The sequence below is a fragment of the Homo sapiens genome, chromosome 16 (assembly GCF_000001405.40).
Source record: "Homo sapiens chromosome 16, GRCh38.p14 Primary Assembly".
Lineage (NCBI taxonomy): Eukaryota > Metazoa > Chordata > Mammalia > Primates > Hominidae > Homo > Homo sapiens.
In genome coordinates, this window is record NC_000016.10 from 7,649,351 (window position 1) to 7,671,032 (window position 21,682).

The window sequence follows — 21,682 nt, forward strand, 5'->3', positions numbered from 1 at the left end:
GATATTGGGATATCAGGACACTCCTAAAGTCTGGGTCTGTTTAGTAAACATAATCAATCTGTTTCCTTAACCACAAACATCTAGAGGCCAGGAATACCTAACTTTCTGGAAATGTAGTCCAGCATGTCTTGGCCTCATTTTTCCTAGCCTTCACTTACGATGGAGTCGCTGTGGTTCGAACACCTCTAATGGTTGTGTTGCTTGCATGCTGTTTATCTGCAAATTCTGAGCAGGTCACTTTGTACACAGGACAGTGTTATAGAAGGTGGACAGTGAAGAGGTGGTGGCTGTACTCTCCCAGAAGGAAGACAAACATTGGTTAACCACTGACAGGGTGTCCAGGCACAGTATTAGGTACCTGATACCTGCTTGGTACCAGTTACTCATCCTAACTGATGAGCAGAACGTGGAGATCACCACCCTTACGCAGCTTGCATGCACGCACCAGTAAGCGTCCTTCTCCTTCATTTCTGTGACTCAAGCTAATGATTTTTACATGAACCAGGGGAGGAACAGGGCAGCCCTCTTTAGAAAAAAAATTCCAAAGTGACTGAAAGGAAGGATTGTAATGAAGGCAGGAATTAATAAAGAAATGAAGGGAGAGGAGAGGAAGAAGAGGGAGAGGAAGAAGAGCGAGGGGAGAAAGGAAAAGGAGGAGGGAAGACAAAAGGAAGAAAGAGGGAGGGAAGGACAGGAGGGAGGGAAGACAAAAGGAAGGAAGAAAAAGGGAGGGGAGAAGGAATAAAAAAGGAGCAAGTATAAGAAGGAAGGAAGGAATGTAAGAAAGAAAGGAATGTGATCGATGAGCATTTTTCTAACTAGAGATTTCACGAAAGGGCCCCTTGGCCAGCCCTAGATTAACAAGAAAGAGACCACTGAAAATACCAACCACCCAGGACACTTGAATCCTCCAGCCCTTTCTCCATGAAGCCTCTGGCCCAAAGCATGACCTGTGGAACTCTCTTTTTTTTTTTTTTTTGGCCAAGGGTACCTAGCCTTCCAGGAAGGCACTATTTAAGCCAGGAATTGATTTTCAGTCCTTCCTGTGTTCTTTTCACAAAATAAGAAGTCCCCCAATGTGCCCTGCTTGGGAGAGCCCAAAGAACCTCCTAGGAAGCCTTGTAAATATCCTGCCTCAGGAAATCCATTTTCTCCCTGTAATGAAGAGGGTACAAAATGGAATCCTGGCTCCACGCTCTTAACAGCACGTGCTCCCCTCTCTCTCTCTTGCCAAGCTTCTGTTTCATGTTATATCTCAACATCTAAATCCTCCAAGAATTATTGTAAAAGCTGCTTGTGGCTGAGAGGGAGCTTGTCTGGCTCACTCGGCTCCATAGCCAGTGACAATGAATGGGTCAGCATAATTACCGTGTTTCCTCACACAGGCAGCCAGCTGCTCTGCCAGATTGTGAATTTTTCATTTTCTTTATTTCAAAATCCAGGGTGTTCCTCTGAAAACTTAATAGTTGAACTGTGGCAAGACAGATTTGGAGTCAAGGCCATTCCCACTCATTTTCTCCCCAGTCCTGAAGCAAGCGTCTCATCTCTCATTACTTATGGGCTTTTATGATATTAGGATTTACTCGTGTTCCCCATTAAGACCCCACACGTCTCTGCGGTTTCAAGCATACCAGTTGCCACGTGATCCAAGAAACTCAGGTGCTAGGAGCTGGCAAAAAAAGTTAAATAAAATGGCATGATCTATCTTTAGCAAGAATAAAAAAAGTTAAAAATAACCTTTATGGTCTTCTCAGATACAAATAGAAAGACGGAATCATTCTGGGTTCTACAATCCTCGTATTTTACCCGCATTGTGATAGAAAGATGCGGTAGAATCCATAGAACAGGACGGCTGTGGGACCTTTAAGAACACACAGAATTCCAGATAATAGCCATTTGGTCTTCACTTTGGTCGGGTTCGGGGGTTTTATTTGGGCCCTTAAAATTGCAAGAGTAATTTGGAATGGCTGCTGTGGCAAACCCCACCCGCTCCCTTCACCCACCATGTAAGTACAAACATACCCTATCTATGGGTGTAGGTGTAATTCTTGGAGTTCTAAGTGCACTACATGGTCACCCCGTCCAACCTCCTTGGTCGCAGCCAGGGCCTCCAGTGAGGCTTCTCATGCACATTTTTTCCTTCCAATTCTTTTGCCTTTTGCTCCTTCTGCAACCCTCACCTGGGTCCATGCATCAGTGTATGTGGAAAGGACTCTGAATAATGGGGAGACATAAGGTGGAACGCTTCTACTCCTGAAGCTGATAGCGGGAAGGGAAGAAGCTCTTCTTGGCAGTTTGGATAGAGGGTGGAGACAACTTTAACATGAAATGAACTACAACCCCTGCCCCTTGAGAGGTTTGCTCTTCTGCAGAAAGCCTGGAAAAGGAGTTGGTTGTGCTGGGTTAACTAAGAGCATTTCCTTCATGGTGGGCCTTTTGAGCCTTTGCTGTGGCTCTCCTGGGACAGGGACTTACCAAATGCATTTTTTCAGAAAAGCATTCTCTGTGGACACAGTTTGGGAAACAATACCTGCTGCTTAGTGAGATGGGACAAGCGTAGTGAGTATGGTGAGAGCACTGGGAGGGTTAGAGAAGCGAACTGAGCTTGAAGGAAAAGTGGTTTGCTGACTCTGTGGGCCCTGATGAGTTAGGATTTGCATGAGAAGGGAGGAAGGGCATCCCAGGTAGAGGAAACAGTGTTGGTTATCAGGGGACAGGGGTAACCGGGGTAACCATCAGGCATCCTCTGCGGACACAGTTTGGGAAACATTGCCTGCTACTTAGTGAGATGGGACAAGTGTGGTCATTATGCTCAGAGCACTGGGAGAGTCAGAGAAGCCAACTGAACTTAAAGGCAAAAGTGGTTTCCTGGCCCCATGGGCCCTGATGAGTTAGTTAGGATTTGCATGAAATGGGAGGAAGGGAATCCCAGATAGAGGAAACAGCAGTAGTTATCAGGGGGCTGGGGTAATCATCAGGCTTAATTCCCCTTCCTAACTCCTCCTCACCTCCTCATCTTGCTCAGAGAATTTTACCCAAGGGAAGATATCCCCGCCCACATTCTTCTTCTTATTTGAGAAAAAGTCTTGCTGTGTCACTCAGGCTGGAATGCAGTGGTGCCATCTCGACTCACTGCAACCTCCACCTCCCAGGTTCAAGCAATTCTCCTGCCTCAGCCTCCCAAGTAGCGGGAATTATAGGCATGCGCCACCACGCCTGACCAATTTTTGTATTTTTAGTAGAGATGGGGTTTCACCGTATTGGCCAGGCTGGTCTCGAACTCCTGACCTCATGATCCACCTGCCTCAGCCTCCCAAAGTGCTGGGATTACAGGCATGAGCCACCGCGCCCAGCCCCCACATTCTCTTTTTAAGGGTCGGGGTCCCAGACTTATCGCGTATTTGTAATCATGCTGGTTGCCTTTGCCTTTAAATGCTGCACAGGAGTTCAGCAGACTTATCAGATGTTGGTAATAAGCTGTTTCTCATGGCATGTGTGGTTTGTGCACTCATACCACATACATGTGTCAGTGGGAATACTTCAATTAGAAGTTTTAAGAAGTGATATCTGTACATGAAGGAAACTGGAAAAATAGGATGGGGGAAAGTTATGAATAAAAACCACTCATGCAGTTCGGCCCCAGAGATTGCTAGCATGTGGAAAGTTGTGTGTATGTGTATACAAATATGTTCATATCAGCATATGTACATATATGTATATATACATGCACACATTCATACACATGTACACATGCATATACACATATGTGTATTTTGCATGCAAATACACCTGTACATATATACATAGGTATATGATTGATAAGACATGACACATCTTGCAATCTGCCCTTTTAAAAATATGTTTGTGGGTTGGGCGTGGTTGGTCCATAACTGTAATCTCAGCACTTTGGGAGGTGGAGACAGGAGGACTGCTTGAACCCAGGACTTCAAGACCAGCCGGGGCAACAAAGGGAGATCCCCATCTCTACAAAACATGAAAAAATTAGCCAGGTGTGGTAGCACACTTCTATCTATGGTCCCAGCTACTTGGGAGGCTGAGGTAGGAGGATCACTTGAGCCCTGGAAGTCGAGGGTGCAGTGAGCCGTGATTGCACCACTGCACTCCAGCCTGGGTGACAGAGCCAGTCCCTGTCTCAAATAAACTCATTAATTAAATACTCATGCAGTGAGCTTTTCTCCCGTTATATAGAATTATTTGCAAATGTTTGTCAGTCACCACATTCTCCTGGGCAAAGGGCCCACTGTGTTAACTACTCATCCTCTCTGGAGTCCCACCCTGGCCACCGTGCTGCTCTCTGCTTTTTAACCTCTTGATTCCGGGAAGCGGGCGGGGGTCCTGCTGGGACCCTGTGCAGGGACAAGGGTTCCCGGGGCAGTTCCCTCCACAGCAGGGTGTGCATCTGACAGCCTGTGCTCTCTCTCTCTCTCTCCTCTTGCCCCGCAGTGCCAGGCTTCCCGTATCCAGCAGCCACCGCCGCGGCCGCCTACCGAGGGGCGCACCTGCGAGGCCGCGGTCGCACCGTGTACAACACCTTCAGGGCCGCGGCGCCCCCGCCCCCGATCCCGGCCTACGGCGGGTAAGTGGGGCAGCCTCCTGGGTGGGCCTCCCTGCACCAGCCCTCCCTCCCCAGAGGCACGGAGCTGTTTGCGAGCGCATGATGGTCTTGACTCCCCCTCCGCCACCCCCAGAACCGCCCCCAGCATGCAGCCCGGCCGCGCACCTGCAGTGGAGCACCTTGCTAAGAGTATTGAAAAATGAGTGTAATTTGTCCTGTCATGGTTGGTGCCTTTAAGCATTCTACATGTCACATGTTGTTATGTAAATTCTCTTTGAGACTGAATGCTGGAGAACAGAGAAATGGTTACAGCCAAAGATGTATTTCTGATGATTGCAAACATCTGGTTATTAAGGAGGTTGGACCACATTTGCCCCTTGAATTCCTCCACAGAAAGAAGTGAGGTTTTCATACATAAAAATCACTGGGGTCGTCTTGCTCGCCTCCCCAGGGATATCTTGGCTTCAAGGGTCACGAACCTTTGCCTGCAAAGAGAAAATTAGGTGTTGAGTCACATGCAAACATACAAGAATTAATGAAATTGGAGTTAAGATGCGTTGCAGTTGCGTTTTCCAAAATGGCATTTGCCTTCCTTTCTCCTCTGTGGGAACAATGCAGATTAGTTTGTTTCCCATTGCCAATTTGGTCCTTCTCTGCACAGACTTTGATATTGCCAGGCGAATGTCAAGGAATGGTGTGAATGCTCAGTAAAAGAAAAAAAAAAATGATACTGGTGTGTTTGGTGGCAGTCTTGAAATGCTAGTCTGTCCCTCTTTTAAGGCTCCTGCTAGAATATTCTTGCACCTCTGCAGCCAGGGAGAAAGGGATACCTCCAAGGCAGTGGCCCTAGACCAGGGGACATTTGCAAGGTCTAGAGACATTTTTGGTTGTCACAACAGGAATGGAGAGATGCTATGTCCTCTATTGGGTAGAGTCTAGGGATGTTGTTTGACAGCCCCCAACAAGAAAGAATTATCAGACTCAAAGTCAGTCATGCTGCAGCTGAGAAACCCTGCTCTATGTTAAATTCAGCGATCCCCAGAAAGCCTGGCACTAGGCTTCCCTGGCCAGTGACTGGCTTTCTGGTGTGTAGAAGAAAATATGGCTGCATTTAAGACTGTGTGAAAAGGGTTAAATGCCCTTTTCATAGCTCTGTTGCTTGTAAATCTTTCAGAAAATCTACATTAGCCTAGATCATCTATTATACTCATGACAAAAAGAAACACTTTTTTTCATTACATATTCATTCTAAACCAGAGCATTTGAAATGTTTGTTTCAAAAATAAATGCAATAAAGTTAATGGTAAAAAGAAATGAGAGTAGGTAAAACCATCAGAGAAGGGAAAGTTAAGGAAAAGTAGTAAGACAAAGTCCATCAAATTTCTTGTGTAGTCATTTGAATTGGGTCAACTTTGAGCTTCTTGGACAAAACAAGAGCTCTCTCTATGCATACACATATTTTAACTGAAAAGACGGTGGATAGTAACAAACCAAGAATGAACTGGCTATAAATTCTCCCTAATGCCTGTCAAATGTATTTGTATGTCTTAAGCCTTTTATGTGACCATGCAATATAAGGAGTTGTCGATAGTATAATTTTTATCTCTGGTATCACAGCAATGAGCCCATTTTATGGATCCAGAAATGTAAAAATAAAGATTTGTTATTCCCAAGATCATGTAATGAGTTATGAAGGAAAAAGAAAATCCCAAGTTACCTTTGGGCTCATGTAATTACTAAAGCAAGATTTGTATGCTATAAATCCAAAATTGCACTTATACCACATTCGTTTGAAAATTGTTCTCAGTACATGGGAGTTGAAGGGTTTTAGTATATCTACCATCAGTATCTCACTACTATATTGAAGAGCAAAAGAAACAATAGAGGAAAATTATATGGTTTATCCTCACATGACCAATTTATAAACATCTCAGAATGACACACCTGCTGTAAAATCAAAATTAAATTAGCTAACTTATAATGAACATGCTCTTTGCTGGGAATAACCATGCATAACTAATTAATGCCATGTTTCACCAGGGAGAGACACAGGCATTTCCAAATGATGAAACAATGTGTTTGTAACTACTTGGGATGAAAATTAATTTTAATATTCCAGCAATATCTGTGATCAGTTTGGTTATAGTGGTGGATTGTACCTCCTTGCTGATAATAGTATGGCTGGCATTCTAAAGCCATACTTGGAAGCAAGATCAAATTCTCAGCAGAGAAGCAGGAGCCCCAGCAGGACTAAGATTGCAAGCATTCATGTCTGCAATAACCTATTAGAGCAAGGTACTGGTCAAAAAGAAGGAAATTCGTCTTGTTGCCTGGGTGTTTCACTGGATTACAGACTCCTGGGAATGAATTGGCACGGAATGAAAAACTTTGAGGCCACCATCTTAGAGGTTTCCTTTTCCTCTGGAATAAACAGATTAGGTTGCAGGAGATGGCAAGGGGATGGCTCCTCTTGGAAAGGAAGAGAGCAGAGTGGGACCCAGGGCAGGAGCTGGCTGGAAGAGCAAGAACCCCTATCTTGTGTTCAGGGAGAGCAAGAACCCCTATGTTGTGTTCAGGGAAAGCAAGTAGCATAGAGGTTAGAAATACTTGTTTTCAGAAAGTAACATCATCAGGATTCAGGTGGTCCAGAGAGCAGATTTCCTGTAGCCTTTTATCTCTAAATTCCTTTGGAGGAAAACTAAGATTTGACTGACGTCTTTACCCCAGCCCAGTGCAGCTCACCCTATGACTCACACCTATTGTGTTTTAGGCACTGTTGTGTGCTGAAGAGACAAATGGCACCTTGAGAGGTATTTCTTCTGGTTGGGGCAGGGGGTGACATACAAGCCAACAATTTCAATAAATGTGATAAGTGATACAAGAGGATATTGTGTGAACACTAGGGAAAGGTCCTTAGCCCAGCTTGGGTGTTTACAGAAGGCATCCCAGAAGAGAAGAAATATGGGGTATATATAAGTCCAAACATTTCCTAAATTGCCACAGTGAAATCTTATCCTGTGACCCCTCCTCCACCCACACCCCCAGCAATCTCCATCTTTTCTAAGATGTCACCTAACAAACTACATTTAAGAATTTGTTTCCACTGTCACCAATTGAAGGCATATCTGCCAACCTAAATCTGTTCTTCCTGAAGTATCCAATATGAATCTATATTGTTACTAAAATACCAGTCAAAAAGGTGTCCTAGGTCCATGCATGGCTTCCACATTTTCTTCCTCCTGGGAGATTGAAGAAAATATCCTTTAGGATCTCCATGGCTACCTTTATGGAAGCTTGGGTAACCCTTGGAGATATCCAACATAAAGATAGTCACACCAGTAGAGTCCCTAAGGATGCCCTACATTCATCCATTTCCTTTTAAAAAAAATTTTTTTTGAGACGGAGTCTTACTCTGTCACCCAGGCTTGAGTGCAATGGCACGATCTCGACTCACTGCAACCTCCACCTCCTGGGTTCAAGTGATTCTCCCACCTCAGCCTCCTAAGTAGCTGGGATTACAGGTGCCCGCCACCACACCTGGCTAATTTTTGCATTTTTAATAGAGATGGGGTTTCACCATTTTGGCCAGGCTGGTCTTGAACTCCTGACCTCAGGTGATCCGCCCATCTGGGCCTCCCAAAGTGCTGGGATTATAGGCGTGGGCCACTGCGCACAGACATTCATCAATTTCCTTTTATTGATTTGCCTTTTCCTTCCATGTCTTGATATTTTCTGAAGCCCTTCCATGCAGCTGAAGAACATCGGTTATGAAGAGGCCCTTTTTTGTCTCACATGCCTAAATAGAAACCTCTTGGGACATTAACACATGATCATTCCTCCAGGGGTAGGGAAAGTTGTGGACCATGGTGGGATCATAGGTACAAGTGGAAAACCCTGTACCAAACCAACCAACTCCCAATTGATTGCCAACATCAATTGAATGAGACTGAAGAGTTAGAAAGTAATGTCTACATAGCCTATGGAATTTTATAGTCCTAGGAAGACACTGGATTTAAGGTAAATAAGACTGGGCCCCAATATTCTACCCATACTGGCTTGGATAGCTTACTTAACGTCTATAGACACAGTTTGCTTAAGCGAGAGTGGGGGATATATCTGCCCCCATAGAGTCGATAGAGGGTGAAGCAGGGAAATCCATGTAAGGTGACAACTTGGTCCATCTTATGACATGCATTCAGTGAACTGTACCTACTGTTCTCCAGGTTGATGAACTTAGCGACTTTATTAACCACCCACAGTCTTCTTTCTCAACATCCCCCTTTTGCTTGTGGTTGAGTACAAAAGAAGATCCCATGTCTCTCCCTCTATGCATTATTTATCTTTGCTAGGGGGCACTTGCAGTTTCACAGACCTCCATTTCCTTCAAGCCACAGAAATGGTTGAGGCACTTGCATTGCTTATGGAATATGTAGATTGAAAATACAATATTGAGTAGGGAACAGTCACAGAGCAGAGTAGAGTTTTCCTTATTTCTCCTTGCATTTGATCCTGGACTCAATTTGACTGAGAAGCCACAATGCCCAGTCTAGCTTCCTATGACTCACATTTGGGAGGAATTACCCATCAGGTAATTGCTGTTCAGGGAGCTCACAAGCTGATTATCTGTGCATCAAGACAGCAAGTGGAGGCTTTGGAGACAAACCCTGTAGACTTAGTATCTTTGATGTTAGAAAACAGCAGCTAAATCCCAATCCCCTCCCTCAAAGAGGAACTCGATGAGTACCTATTAGGTACCGTGCATATTTCATGTGAGTACAATGGGGTGCTCTAATGGAGCATCACATGAGTTATTTTTGAGATGGAGTCTTGCTCTGTCACCCAGGCTGAAATGCAGTGGTACAATCTCTGCTCACTGCAACCTCCTCCTCCTGGGTTCAAGCAATTCTCCTGTCTTCAGCTTCCCAGGTAGCTGGGATTATAGGCACATGCCACCACACCCAGCTAATTTTGTATTTTTAGTAGAGACAGGGTTTCACCATATTGGCCAGGCTGCTCTCAAACTCCTGACCTCAAGTGATCTGCCCACCTCAGCCTCCCAAAGTGCTGGGATTACAGGCATGTGCCACCGCCCCCTGGCCATGTTTTTATTATTATTCTAAGCCTAAGCATCTAGTGTCAGCTGTAGGCTTTTGGTCTTGTTCTCTAGGTATCTCTGAGTAAGATTTTCTGCCCTTTCTCAGGTAATTGTCATACATCTGTGTAAACTTCCCAGAGTTACCTTGAGAAGTATTTGAGAAGACTCTATATTATTTGGGGTATAGGAAAGATAGAGCAGTATCCCAGGAGAAAACTTAAAGCTGGTCAGTGGAAGAACAAATAGATCCTTTGGAAATGTTTTCACGTTAAGTCCTAAAAAAGTCTCCAACAACAGTCTCTGGGACTATGGGCATATCTTTCTGTGTACAGATCAGCCATGCTTTCTGGTTTTATCTTCTAAATATCTAAATCCGCAACCTGTAGTATCTGATGCTTAGGAACTGTATTTAGTATAAATACTAGGAACAAAAGTCATCATTACCCATTCTCAGAATACTTTAGACACAGGGGCGTCCAATCTTTTGGTTTCCCTGGGACACACTGAAAGAATTGACTTGGACCACACATAAAGTACACATACACTAACTACAGCTGATGAGCAAAAAAAGAAAAAAGAAAAAAAAGAATCTCATAATGTTTTAAGAAAGTTAATGGATTTGTGTTGGGGCTGCATTCAAAGTTGTCCTGGGCCACATGCAGCATATGGGCTGCGGTTTGGACAAGCTGCCTTTGCAGAATTCTTTTTATAAAGTGTGACTTCTTATTTGCTAGTTTTAAAATGTAATCCAAACAGCCTCTGAATAGCATGAACTTATAGACAAACATGATGAATAAGTGGTCTTTAAAGCCTTTTTTTGGAGGGGAGAATGTGAAAAGACATTTTCACAGATGCCTTTAATAATCTGATTAAAAATTCTCTAGGAAAATACGTACAAACAGCACACACACACACCCAAATTCTATACACATGCCAGCTAGTTTCTGATCCCCCCAATATCCATTAAAAAATAGCGGTATTTGAACACCTTAAAAAGTTTATTTTCTAGTTGGAAGGGGCCTCAGGGTAGAACAATTGTAAACAGCCTTTTCTATAAGAATATACTTGTGGCTGGTATATATCATATTACACGAGCAGATTGTATAGTTTGGGCATTTTATACTTTTTTTTTAAAGTAAACTAATTTTCTGTAGTGCAGTCACTCCCTGCTCGCATTCATTCAAATATTTAACTACTGGTATTACTTTTCTAAGAAAATAAGATGTGCATTTGCATTATGTCCTTGCAAAAGCACATTGAGTCCCGATGTGATTGACAAACAATACAAGTACCTTTGCATGGCTAGACGGACCATCTCTGCATTGAAATATGACTGCGCCTGTTTAGTGCGCAATGGTAACTCCCTTCTCTCCTAACTGTTCCGTGGTTAATTTATCTATAGCTGCACCGCAGACATGGATCCCTGTGCCTCTTTCCCTGCATATCTTATATTTTAAGTGCAGCTGTTTGATGAGGCTTTACAAATTATTTGGATACATTTTTGGAAACTAGCATGAGGCTTTGTGATGAGAACTTTCCCGTAACCAGCTCCTCCATTAGAATATAACCTAGGAGGCTGACCTTCAGTTTTGTCTCAAATGTAAAGTAAAATAACACTTGGAGGATGGTGTTGCATAGAGCTATGATTCTCATATTCCTGGGACCAATAGCATCCGCATCATCTGTTAACTTGTTAGAAATGTAAGCTCTTAGATGCTGTCATCCGGATCTATTCAATCAGAACCTGTTGGCTGGGCATGGGGCCCAGCCATCTGTGTTTCAAAAGTCCTCCAGGTGATTCTGCTACACATTCAAGTTTGACCACCACTGCCTGCCATAGTACTTAAGAGTTTGCACTGTGGAGCCGGACCCCCTGGGCTCAAATCCCAGTTCAGACAATACCCAACTCTCTTTCAGTTTCTACATGTCTAAAGAGGCAATGATCATATTGTCCATCTCATGGGGGTATTCTAAGGACTGAGTGGGATCATGAGCACAGAAAGGCTAGACTAGGGACTGATCCATGGTAAGTGTTCTGCAAATGTGAGTAGTGGGAGTAATGGTGCTCGTGCTGTTACTATTAGGGAGAAAAACAATGTTTTGGTAAAATTGGCTTCCCATTACATGGCTTTATTTCACACTGCCGGTGAGGATGGCTACATTGCTTCCACATTTTTTAGAGTTATCCTAAAGATAGATCACTCGTCCTTTCCATTTCTCTCCAATACATGTGCACTTTGAAAACAAGTAATCCCTTCATGATGGGGTTTATAATGGCAGCTACAATCATCTTTTTGCTGTGAAGCCACCATATTTAGACCCTAATGCTTATACGTTTCCCCCCAGCCCTCCAAGAAGCCAGAGCGTGGGTCTTCCAGCCATAGGTCTTGCCTTGCAGTACCCTCACCCCACCACCCTTTGCCTTGACAGCACTTCACTCCTCTCTACCGAGCCAAGGCTTTGAGGTTTCTGTGCCATTTGCTTAGCCTCTCTCGTCTCTGCTGCTGGCCCTGCCTCCTTCCGTTCCACATTCAGGGCACCTCTGTTGCTGTCTCCTGCAGTATCTATCTCAGCTGTGATTCTACAGTTTTATGCATAATTTGTGACTGTGTGTCCCACTTCCTGTACACTCTGGGAGGGCAGGGTTACTGAGGGGGCTTTCTTCTTCGGTCTTCATGCCTTCGCATAGTAGTTGGGGTACAGGAAAGCTTTCAGTCACAGAGAAATAGTATGTATTTGGCTTGTTTGAGCTTTTCACAATGAGAAAGCTACACTAGTTCTTCTTTGGTTCAGTGTTTCATCAATGTAGGATGTCAGCAACACCCAAGTAACTTTCCATAGCCCACAGTGGAGGACAAAGCATGGCAATCAGGTTACCCTACTGAGCAGAGACTCCTAAGAGCAAACATCCCGGCATGTTCTTTCCTCACCTCTGGGCAATGTTGGTACAAATAGGCTTGACATGGAGGCACAAAACTGGCCATGGTGCATAACAACTTGTCTTAATGAAAGAAGGGATCAGTTTCTTGGCCAGAGCTCAGCCTCAGCCATATCAAAGAACCCCAACTCTTGGCCCACACCCATGCCATGTGCCCCGTTGGAACAGCCTCCAAGGCCTGGGATCAATTCTTCTCTCCGTCATTTACAGAAGATCAGAGACAGATGAGGTTCCACCATTGAGATCTTTAGAAGTCATTATTTCCCATATTTAAAAGTATGTTTCATATCTCATGAAAAATACATTGTTTACTTCTAGACTGCTGTCTAGTCTCTTGCCCTGGTCTCCTAATTCAGGTTCGAGTCTGTTAATCGTATTTCTCCTCCATTGACAACAGCCACTGATACTGAATAGCCAAATCAGAGACAAACCTCAGACTCCTCCCGACCCATTATTGAATTCTACCTGGAGTTGGTAAAGCAATGACTCAATCTCCTTCTGACGCCTTCTCATGCCCACCCTTCCCTCTAAAATATGAACCCTATTCACCCAGTTATTGTCCATCTTCTAGGTAACAAGCAGTGTGTCAGGAACTGAGAATAGAATGTTAGTTAAGCCACAGGGTGTAGCTTTTAAGGTGCAACGAGTCACATGCACACAGACCTTTAATGTGAGGCAGAAATTGACGAGTGGCTCTGATAAGAGTCTGAAAAATGATGCTGGTGTTCATAATGGGAAAAGTCACCCAGCTGCAGGTGGGCACCGGGTCTCAAACATGGTGACCTCGTTAGAGCTACAGTGTTAAGCATGATGCCACCCATCCCTTTGCAAGCATTATCTTACGAAACCCTTTCTTGAGGTAGGCACTTACCTATTTTCCCTTTTTAACAGATGAGTAAGTGAGGTTCAGATGTCTCAAGTAATATGTGCAAAGGCACTGCACTGTTGATTGAGGATGCTGCAGTCTGATTCAAATGCCCATGTGCTTCCCATCTAACTTGGCTCTTGAATGGTCATGTCACTGCTTTTGGATGAGGATACTAGAATAAAGGGCATTGCCAGCACAAGGCATTGCACGTGCAAGGGCATGGCAGCATGAAAGAATGGGATGGAGCGGTTTTGATATGGCTAAGTGATCAGTCCTGTGGTTTGGGACCCAAACTAAATATCTGTTGCTCCCTCTCTTTCATCAGACCTTGGCAGAGGGTGGCTCTGCCTTCTGACCCCCCAACCGACATTCTCTATGTTGGAAAAGTTGAAAAAGAATTCAAAGCATAGCTCAGGACGATGCACACCTCAGCATCTTGGATTAGGGCTTTATGCCACTTCACAAGCGCTCTTGTGAACTGTAGCCCTCCCGGATCAAATATGAACAACAGCTGAAAGCTATTCCTACCAACCTCCTTAGTGTGTGAAATCCCTGCCACATTTTTAAGGACAATGGTACTTGGAGTTTAGTCAATCAACTCTGAAATACTCTAAGCAGCACACTAGAGTGTTCTCCAGCAAACCAGTGTCACAGCTGCGTGTGTGTGTCAGTACAGCGTGTGTGTGTGTGTGTGTGTGTGTGTGTTGTAAAATGCCTTCCCTTGGCTCAATATGCTTTGCTTACATGTGGGTTCATTCTGCTACAGAAACCTGCTGGAATCCTTTGGTATTAAAGTTGTGTTTCTATTAGAACCTCAGCTTCATTCAATGGTGGGGCTCATTGGTCCTTTGCCAGAATCATAAGTCATCTAGAAACATCATGGGAAGGTATCGGGGAAGATTGTAAATAACTATGATCCTTTTAAAAATAGGCATTTAGAAACAGCTTCATATGCAAGATGCCTTGTGATCCTTACAAAAACCTGTGAAGGCTACATATGATTCTCGTTAAACTCGTTTTCATGCTTAGGAAATACAAATCAGTTTCTCACGACCACGTAGCTAAGAGCTTCTTTTCCTGGTTGTTTTACTCAAAGCATACCAAAAAGCTTCTGGGGAATCATTCCCTAACCCCTGTCCCCAGCCCTCTGAAGTCTCTTCTTTCTGGGATGGTCACTACATGGGTGGCAATCAGAGAGCTGCTATCAGATTGGGCTTGTTCAATCAAGGTGTGGGTCTTTGTTTAGTCTAGATATAATTTACGTGAACATGCAGATATTCACATGTATACACCCTTGTACATATAAGTACACAAATACATATAAATAAGTATACACATGCATATATACATGTTTACATACGTGTATACACTATAGACAAATACATGCATTCCTGCACTTGTCCATATTAACACACACAAATATGCACACAATGCACTTGTACACATGAAGACATGTCTGCACAGAAAACACATTCTTGCACATGTACCCATGCTCACCCACATACTATTAGAGATATTCTCCATTAACCATAAAATAATGCACGTGCAATTACCAAATATAATACAATGTGAAAGAATATAGAAGAAAATTTTTGAAACCATATGTGTTGTCCACCTCACCTAAGGCCATTCAGCTCTAGCCCATACTGAGAATGCTGCAATCTGTGTGTCGACCTTTACAATCCGATTTTTAAATAGATGTTTTGGGTTTTTATTCTGTGGGGTAGGGGGCTATGTGGTTTGATTGCCAACTCTGACCTGTTAAGATGCTCATGTCTGTCTGGGCCACTTAAATCTCAGTCCTCTTTGCATTTCAAAGTCGTGCCTTTCTGTACCCACTCCTGAGAGAGTGGGAAGTTTGGGACCTAGCACACCGCCACCACCACATCCTAATTCTGGGCCAACACCAAAGCCCGGCCTAATTTTCTCGGTTTGCTCAACTGCCGTTGTCTCCAACCTCCTTAATCCAATGTGAAAACGATCCTCGGTTCCTGTGTTTTGGATCTTGTGACCAGACTAACCTCGCCAGTGCAGGGGTTGGTGTGTCTGCATGGGAAATGCACTAATATGGATGTTTCTCTTTGTGTGTGCACCCTTGCAGTGTTGTTTACCAGGATGGATTTTATGGTGCAGACATTTATGTAAGTATTCATTCACGTGCATGCCATCCCCGTTTCCTCCTGGAGTCATTCTTTTTACAAGTTTGCTGTGAATTTCTCTACTTGGCGTAGTTGAGTTTCTCTCCTTGGTCTGTAGGAAATAATTCCGTGGTTTGTCTTGCAGGACAGAAAGCCTTCTGCTCTTGAACTTGTGGCAGACATCACTGGCTGTTTAGTGGGGTGGAATTAACCCCTCGATCAACTTCAGAACGAATGCAATTCCCCCAAAAAGGTGGCATTTCTTTCATGCCAACTAAAGACCCCACTTCACCCACAAAGAAATTGTCTCTCAAGTTCTCGATATGTTCTTCGTTTTCAGTATAATATTTAGGATAACAGCTGTAGTCACCAGCTGCAGAGGGTTAAAAGATATTTTCATGGCTGCTATTTTTGATGTTTTCCCTAAAATATCACAGTAGCCTTAGGAACACTCTTTCTCTCTCTAGACATGGACAAGTTTAGCCCTAAACATCTCCTGATTCTCTTAATATGTATGTCAAATTGAACATTGAGCCCCCATTTTCTTTAACCTTTTATTCCATTTCCCCCAATTACCTGACTTAAAATTGCTTGCTAAATAGTAACACTTTAAGTTTATTTTTAGAAAAGAGTAGGCTATTTCTCATTATGAGAACAAGAATTTAACTATGTTCATCTAGAGGTAGTTATTCTCCGACATTATGATATGAGCATTGACGATATGAAAATGACTTGGAGTAAACACAATTTTGAATAAGTAGGCAGTGTTGGGAGATATTCCCTAAATCACAATTTTTATTACAAAAGACCTCAGTCAATGGGATTATATTTGTTTTACAGACTAGATAGCAAAAAAATCATATTTCTGATGAAATTGGTATCATGTACTAGAAGATGAATAAGGCACTGATTATTGTATTCCTTTTGAATTTCAAATCATTACAATTTTGAGATATAGTATGTATCTCCATCAATAATAGACTTAGTTGAGTTCTACTATTGCATCAAGTATACTTACTATAATCTGTGGGTTAGTATTTTTTCCCCCGTAATAAAATGAGTGAACAACCCATATGTCCTAATTCACTCAGTGATCAATTTTCTTCTTTTTTGTGGAACTTAAGCTTTTCTGTCTCATGTCCTCTTTTTTCAGACTTTCAGATTTTAAATTATGAGGCAGGCTGGGGCTGAGCAGTCTGAAGCCCATTCATTTCCTCAGGCACCTGCTAAACCCAATCACCAGTCCTGGCTCTCGACTCCATGCAGCCCATGGGTAGATTATTGCAGATGGGAGGAGCCAGAATGGTAGTTGGCATCGCAGAATTTAGGGCTTTAGAAATGAAAGGGAATAGACAAGGGATAGAGAAATGGTTTTTTAAAAAATCCACCAAAATGGAAACTATCTCCAGCAACACCTACCCAAGAAAAAAAAAATGCAGATTTTCCTGAGTTTAGTTAAAAGTATTTCACAATCATTTAGTGAGTGTCCACCTCTTCACGCCTCAGTTTCTTCAAACTGACAATAATTTATTGAATCATTAATGTGTGGTGTCTTATGCAGATATCAAATTGGTGTCTTCTTGGCCTCAGATTCTTGAGTAGCAGGAAGGAGAGGCTGCCTGAAGGCAGGGTCTGTGGAGCTCCCACAAATAAGGAAAAAGAAGGGACTCATTTAAGTGAGTGCGAGTGTGTGTCTGTATCGATTGGGGCATATCGCTGCATCAGAGAATCCACAGAGCAATGCAAATAGAGAAAAAACAAAGTTAGAAGAAGGAAATATGCCAACCACTTGACTAGAGAGGAAAAAGAAAATTTATTCAGGGAAGAAAGCCACAGAAGTGTCCCTTTGTGCTTTTCTAGTTCCTTTAGGAGATTTTGTCTCTCACACATTCATCATGTTTGGGCCAAGCCCACTGGGTGCAGCGGTGCAGCTCGGGAAGCATCAGGGTGAGCTTCAAGGACAGAGTTTCTTCCAGTCCTAAGTTGTCTGATATGTTTGTTCATAAAACTGCCCTTTCTCTGACTTTTCAGGCCACGACCCCCAGCCAGAAATTATCGTTTTCCCCACTCTTTATATTATAATGACAATAAGATTTTTCAGTGGGGGAGCATCACATATGCAATCAGGTGGCAGAAAAAGTTCCTGCAATATGAATTTAGAGATTTGATTACCCAGCACATGTTTCTGTCCTGTCTCTAACAGTCTCTGGAATCTGGTAGACCTTCCTGAATATTTTGCTTTGTCTGATGATGACTTTAACATATTGCTGCTGGTGTGCATCCGTGTGTATACTGGACAGCAGGAAACTAGCCTGTGCCACTGCCCAGCTCAGCAGCAGAACAAGAGGTCTTTGATGACCATAAGTTTAAGAAATATAAATATGTTCTGCACCACAGAATATACAGAACAAGATTCATCCTAGCTAGAAATATATCATAATCTTGAATGTGCTTTTTAAAGCCACTACCCTACCTCCCTTGAGATACCAGCATGTTCTGATGAGTGGAAATATCCCCAAGCTTCGTTTTTAAAAGAGATGATGGTTAAACAGACTCTTAGAAAGTCATGTGAGCTTCTACTTTAAAGAAAGATTTTGGCTTACTCCTTCAAGCTCGTTAAAAGTAGTACACAATAAATAGGTTTAGGGCAATTGTCAGCGGCCCCGGGATATATGTTAGACACATCAGATACCTCGAATAGATTTAAACCTCTTTTTGTTATTATTATATTTTTTGAGACAGACTCACTGTGTCGCCCAGGCTGGAGTGCGGTGCAATGTCATCTGTCTGCAACCTCTGCCCCCTGGAAGCAATTCTCCTGCCTCAGCTTCCTGAGTAGCTGGGATTACAGGCGCCTACCACCACCCCTGGCTAATTTTTGTATTTTTAGTAAAGACAGGATTTCACCATGTTGGCCAGGGTGGTCTGGAACTCCTGACCTCAAGTGATCCATCCGCCTCGGTCTCCCAAAGTGCTACGATTACAGACGTGAGCCACTGCACCAAGCCATAAACCTCTTCTTTTTAAGTTTATTGGGTAGTCAGTTTCTAGCTTCGGTCACTGCTAAGGAAGACAAAGGAGGATACTGTCAGATTCTTCCTGCTCAAAATGTTCTCCATCCTGGCAGTATATCAGAGCAGGTCAACAACTCAACAGCTTGCATCTCAGAACTACTGGGCTTTTCTAGGTGCCCTGCTCTCTCCCCTCCCCCGTCCTTTGTTCTTCAAGGTCTTTCCATGCCTACCACCTGAGGTTGGAGCCCTCGGGCATTTTTTAGTTCTGCCAAAGCACATAGTCATTGAAAGACCTGCGTGATCCCTGTAACTGGCAAGCCACAACCTCTTCTCTCAAATGACCTCCTTCTGAAAGTTTTCAGAGGAAAGAGGATTGAACAGAGAGGGACAGATGATCACAGATATCTTGAAATTGCCAAAGGGAGTAGACTTGTTATGAAATGCTGTGAGCCAGACACGAAGGGAAAAAACCAGGACAGCTCATTTGGGCAGAGAGCAAAGACAAAGCCTTCAATCCTATTCAGGAGCTGAGCCCTGCAGGAAACCCACTGCCTCTAGCCACAGTGGAGAGGTGCAGGCACAGTGTGGTTGGCTACTCATCGGAGGTGATGCGGGGGTTGTCTGAGAATGGAGGGTAGGAATGATCTTTATCTGAGTCCCTTCTACCTGAGAACAGAACAGAACACACACACACACACACACTTTTGTATAAAAAGATAGATAGGAATTTAATTTTCATAATGAAACATATCAAATCTTTTGATATGTTCACTATTATTGCTTAGTGGTGCACCTTTAAATACATTCATTTTAATTAAAAAGTGGATCAAGTTAAGCAAACTAAATGGTAGAGTTTATACAAACAGAGTTGCAATGCAAGGACTAAGGTTCTTAGATCTACAGAGTCTCTCATACTTGGAAGTGAAGCTATAGATGTTTTTTGAGGTGGAATCTCGCTCTGTCGCCCAGGCTGGAGCACAGTAGCACGATCTCAGCTCACTTGCAACCTCCGCTTCCAGGGTTCAAGGGACTCTTCAACCTCAGCCTCCTGAGTAACTGGGATTACAGGCACTCGCCACCATGCCCAGCTAATCCATGTATTTTAGTAGAGATGGGGTTTCGCCATGTTGGCCAGGCTGGTCTCAAACTCCTGACTTCAAGAGATCCACCTGCCTTGGCCTCCCAAAGTGCTGGGATTACAGGTGTGACCCACCATGACTGACCCCTGAAGCTATAGGTTTTATGAGGCTAGAAGTTGACCAAGGAGTGGAAAACAAGCATTGCTTAACTGAACCAAGACATCTGTTGGTTGACCTTCTCAGAAAGAGACCAAAAAGTATAGCATTTGATCAAAAGATAACTATTAATATTACAAATGAAAAGAGGGAGAGAAAGAAATTATAATGAACTGTTAAAAAGAATTGACAAACGGATAGAAACTGGAATAACATAGTGAGGTGTGACAATGGTAAGAGCAGAGAGAAAGAGTGAGAGGATATAGAGTATAAATGTTAACCTTGTTCCTTTTTATTAAGAACATCCTAAGCGTCCTAACATTAGACGCAACCATGAGGGCCGCCTAGCAAATATGTCTTGAGATTCCAGTGCATTTTTATACCATTCCTAAATTCTGTATAACAAGTTTCTGGTTAACACCATGGCTAAACACAATTATTTCTGAATTCCTGTCACTCTGCCACCCATATGTTTTAAAACAAAGAGGTATCCTCATTTCACTGATGTTTAAACTCAGGAATGAGATGTGTCAGTAGCTTTGGGAACATGTAAAGCTGGAAAGTAGGAATTCTTTAAATAAAAACTCCTAGTCTTTCTTCCTGAGACCTTGCTTTCAGTGTGAGGTGGCTGAGGATTGGCATTTGACTTGCCGTCCGCAGTCACCATAGTGGAGACCTCAGTCCACCAAGAAATCAGGCGAATGCTGTGTTTGCAATGGGAGAGACAAGATGTTGAGTGTTTTACCTGTATTACGTCATCTCTCCTCACCACAGCCCTTGAAACAAGGAATCTTACCTCTATTTTTCTGTTGTTCCAGAAGAGAAACTTTTTTGGGAGACATAGCCTCCCTGTATCACCCAGGGTGGAGTGCAGTGGCATGATCTCAGCTCACTGCAACCTCTGCCTCCCAGGTTCAAGCAATTCTCCTGCCTTAGCCTCCCAGATAGCTGAGACTACATGCATGCACCACGACGCCTGGCTAATTTTTGGATCCTTAGTAGAGACGGGGTTTCACCATGTTGGCCAGGCTGGTCTCGAACTTCCGACCTCAAGTGATCCAGCTGCCTTGGCCTCCCAAAGTGCTAGGATTACAGGTGTCAGCCACCACGTGTGGCCAACAGGAAACTTTTTTTTCCAGAAAAAAAGAAAATAATTTGTCCAAAAATCTTCAGACACTGGGCCTTGAGCCCACATGATTTGACTACTGAGTTTAATGCTGAAGCCCTGAGCCCACAAACTCAAGTCATTGCGCTAGTTGAGCAATATTTGAAAAGTACGGTGAAAGATGGGAAAGGAAGAGGGAGAGAAGTAAAAGCATAACGGGGTGGTTAGACCACTGAGAATAATATTTGTACTGGAAATATTCAAGTAAGCAGTGAACTAGGAGCGAAAGGAGGAGAGAGAGGAACAAGAATGTTATCAGGCATCGCTCCGTAAGCTTAGACTTTTAACATAAGGAAGCAAATTTAAACTGGAAAGGCAGGCTATGTAGGAAAAAGTATACACAAGCCTTTATAGGGTACGTCCCTCAGTCTCTTCAAGTGTTCAGCCATCTCAGTGTCTGCCCTAGAATTGGAGAATTTTATTTCAAACTGTGACCACTCACATGGAAGATTAATCTTGACCATGAATGACTCTTATGTCAAAAAACTGCATCCTAGTCCGCACAAGGATTCTACAGAGACCTTCCTTGCCAGTGCTAGATTTGTATGAAATGATAGCATTTTGATATGTATATTAACACTAGTTTACACACACGCACACACACTCATATATACTCACAGTTCTCTAGTCTGAAAGTATTAAAAGGAGCCATC

General features: G+C 43.3%; 1 protein-coding gene across 52 annotated transcripts in view, besides 2 other annotated features; it reads left to right on the forward strand.

Annotated features, from left to right (window-relative positions):
- Positions 1 to 21,682, forward strand: part of RBFOX1 (RNA binding fox-1 homolog 1) — a 2,473,620-nt gene that overhangs the window by 2,409,630 nt on the left and 42,308 nt on the right. For 38 of the 52 annotated variants that reach the window (NM_001415887.1, NM_001415888.1, NM_001364800.2 and 35 more), the window contains 2 exons: positions 4,465 to 4,597; positions 15,579 to 15,618. In NM_001415887.1, the coding sequence (NP_001402816.1) occupies positions 4,465 to 4,597; positions 15,579 to 15,618 (173 nt within the window). The remainder of the gene's footprint in view (positions 1 to 4,464; positions 4,598 to 15,578; positions 15,619 to 21,682) is intronic. The other 14 variants (XM_017023318.3, XM_024450303.2, XM_017023320.3 and 11 more) reach the window with 1 other exon arrangement.
- Positions 2,399 to 2,950: an enhancer, noted in NCBI's record as "OCT4-NANOG hESC enhancer chr16:7701751-7702302 (GRCh37/hg19 assembly coordinates)". NCBI's record gives its function as "activates a minimal SCP1, AML or CMV promoter by ChIP-STARR-seq in naive H9 embryonic stem cells {active_cell/tissue: H9 hESC(naive)}" and the evidence as "EXISTENCE:reporter gene assay evidence [ECO:0000049][PMID:30033119]".
- Positions 3,984 to 4,590: an enhancer, noted in NCBI's record as "H3K27ac-H3K4me1 hESC enhancer chr16:7703336-7703942 (GRCh37/hg19 assembly coordinates)". NCBI's record gives its function as "activates a minimal SCP1, AML or CMV promoter by ChIP-STARR-seq in primed H9 embryonic stem cells {active_cell/tissue: H9 hESC(primed)}" and the evidence as "EXISTENCE:reporter gene assay evidence [ECO:0000049][PMID:30033119]".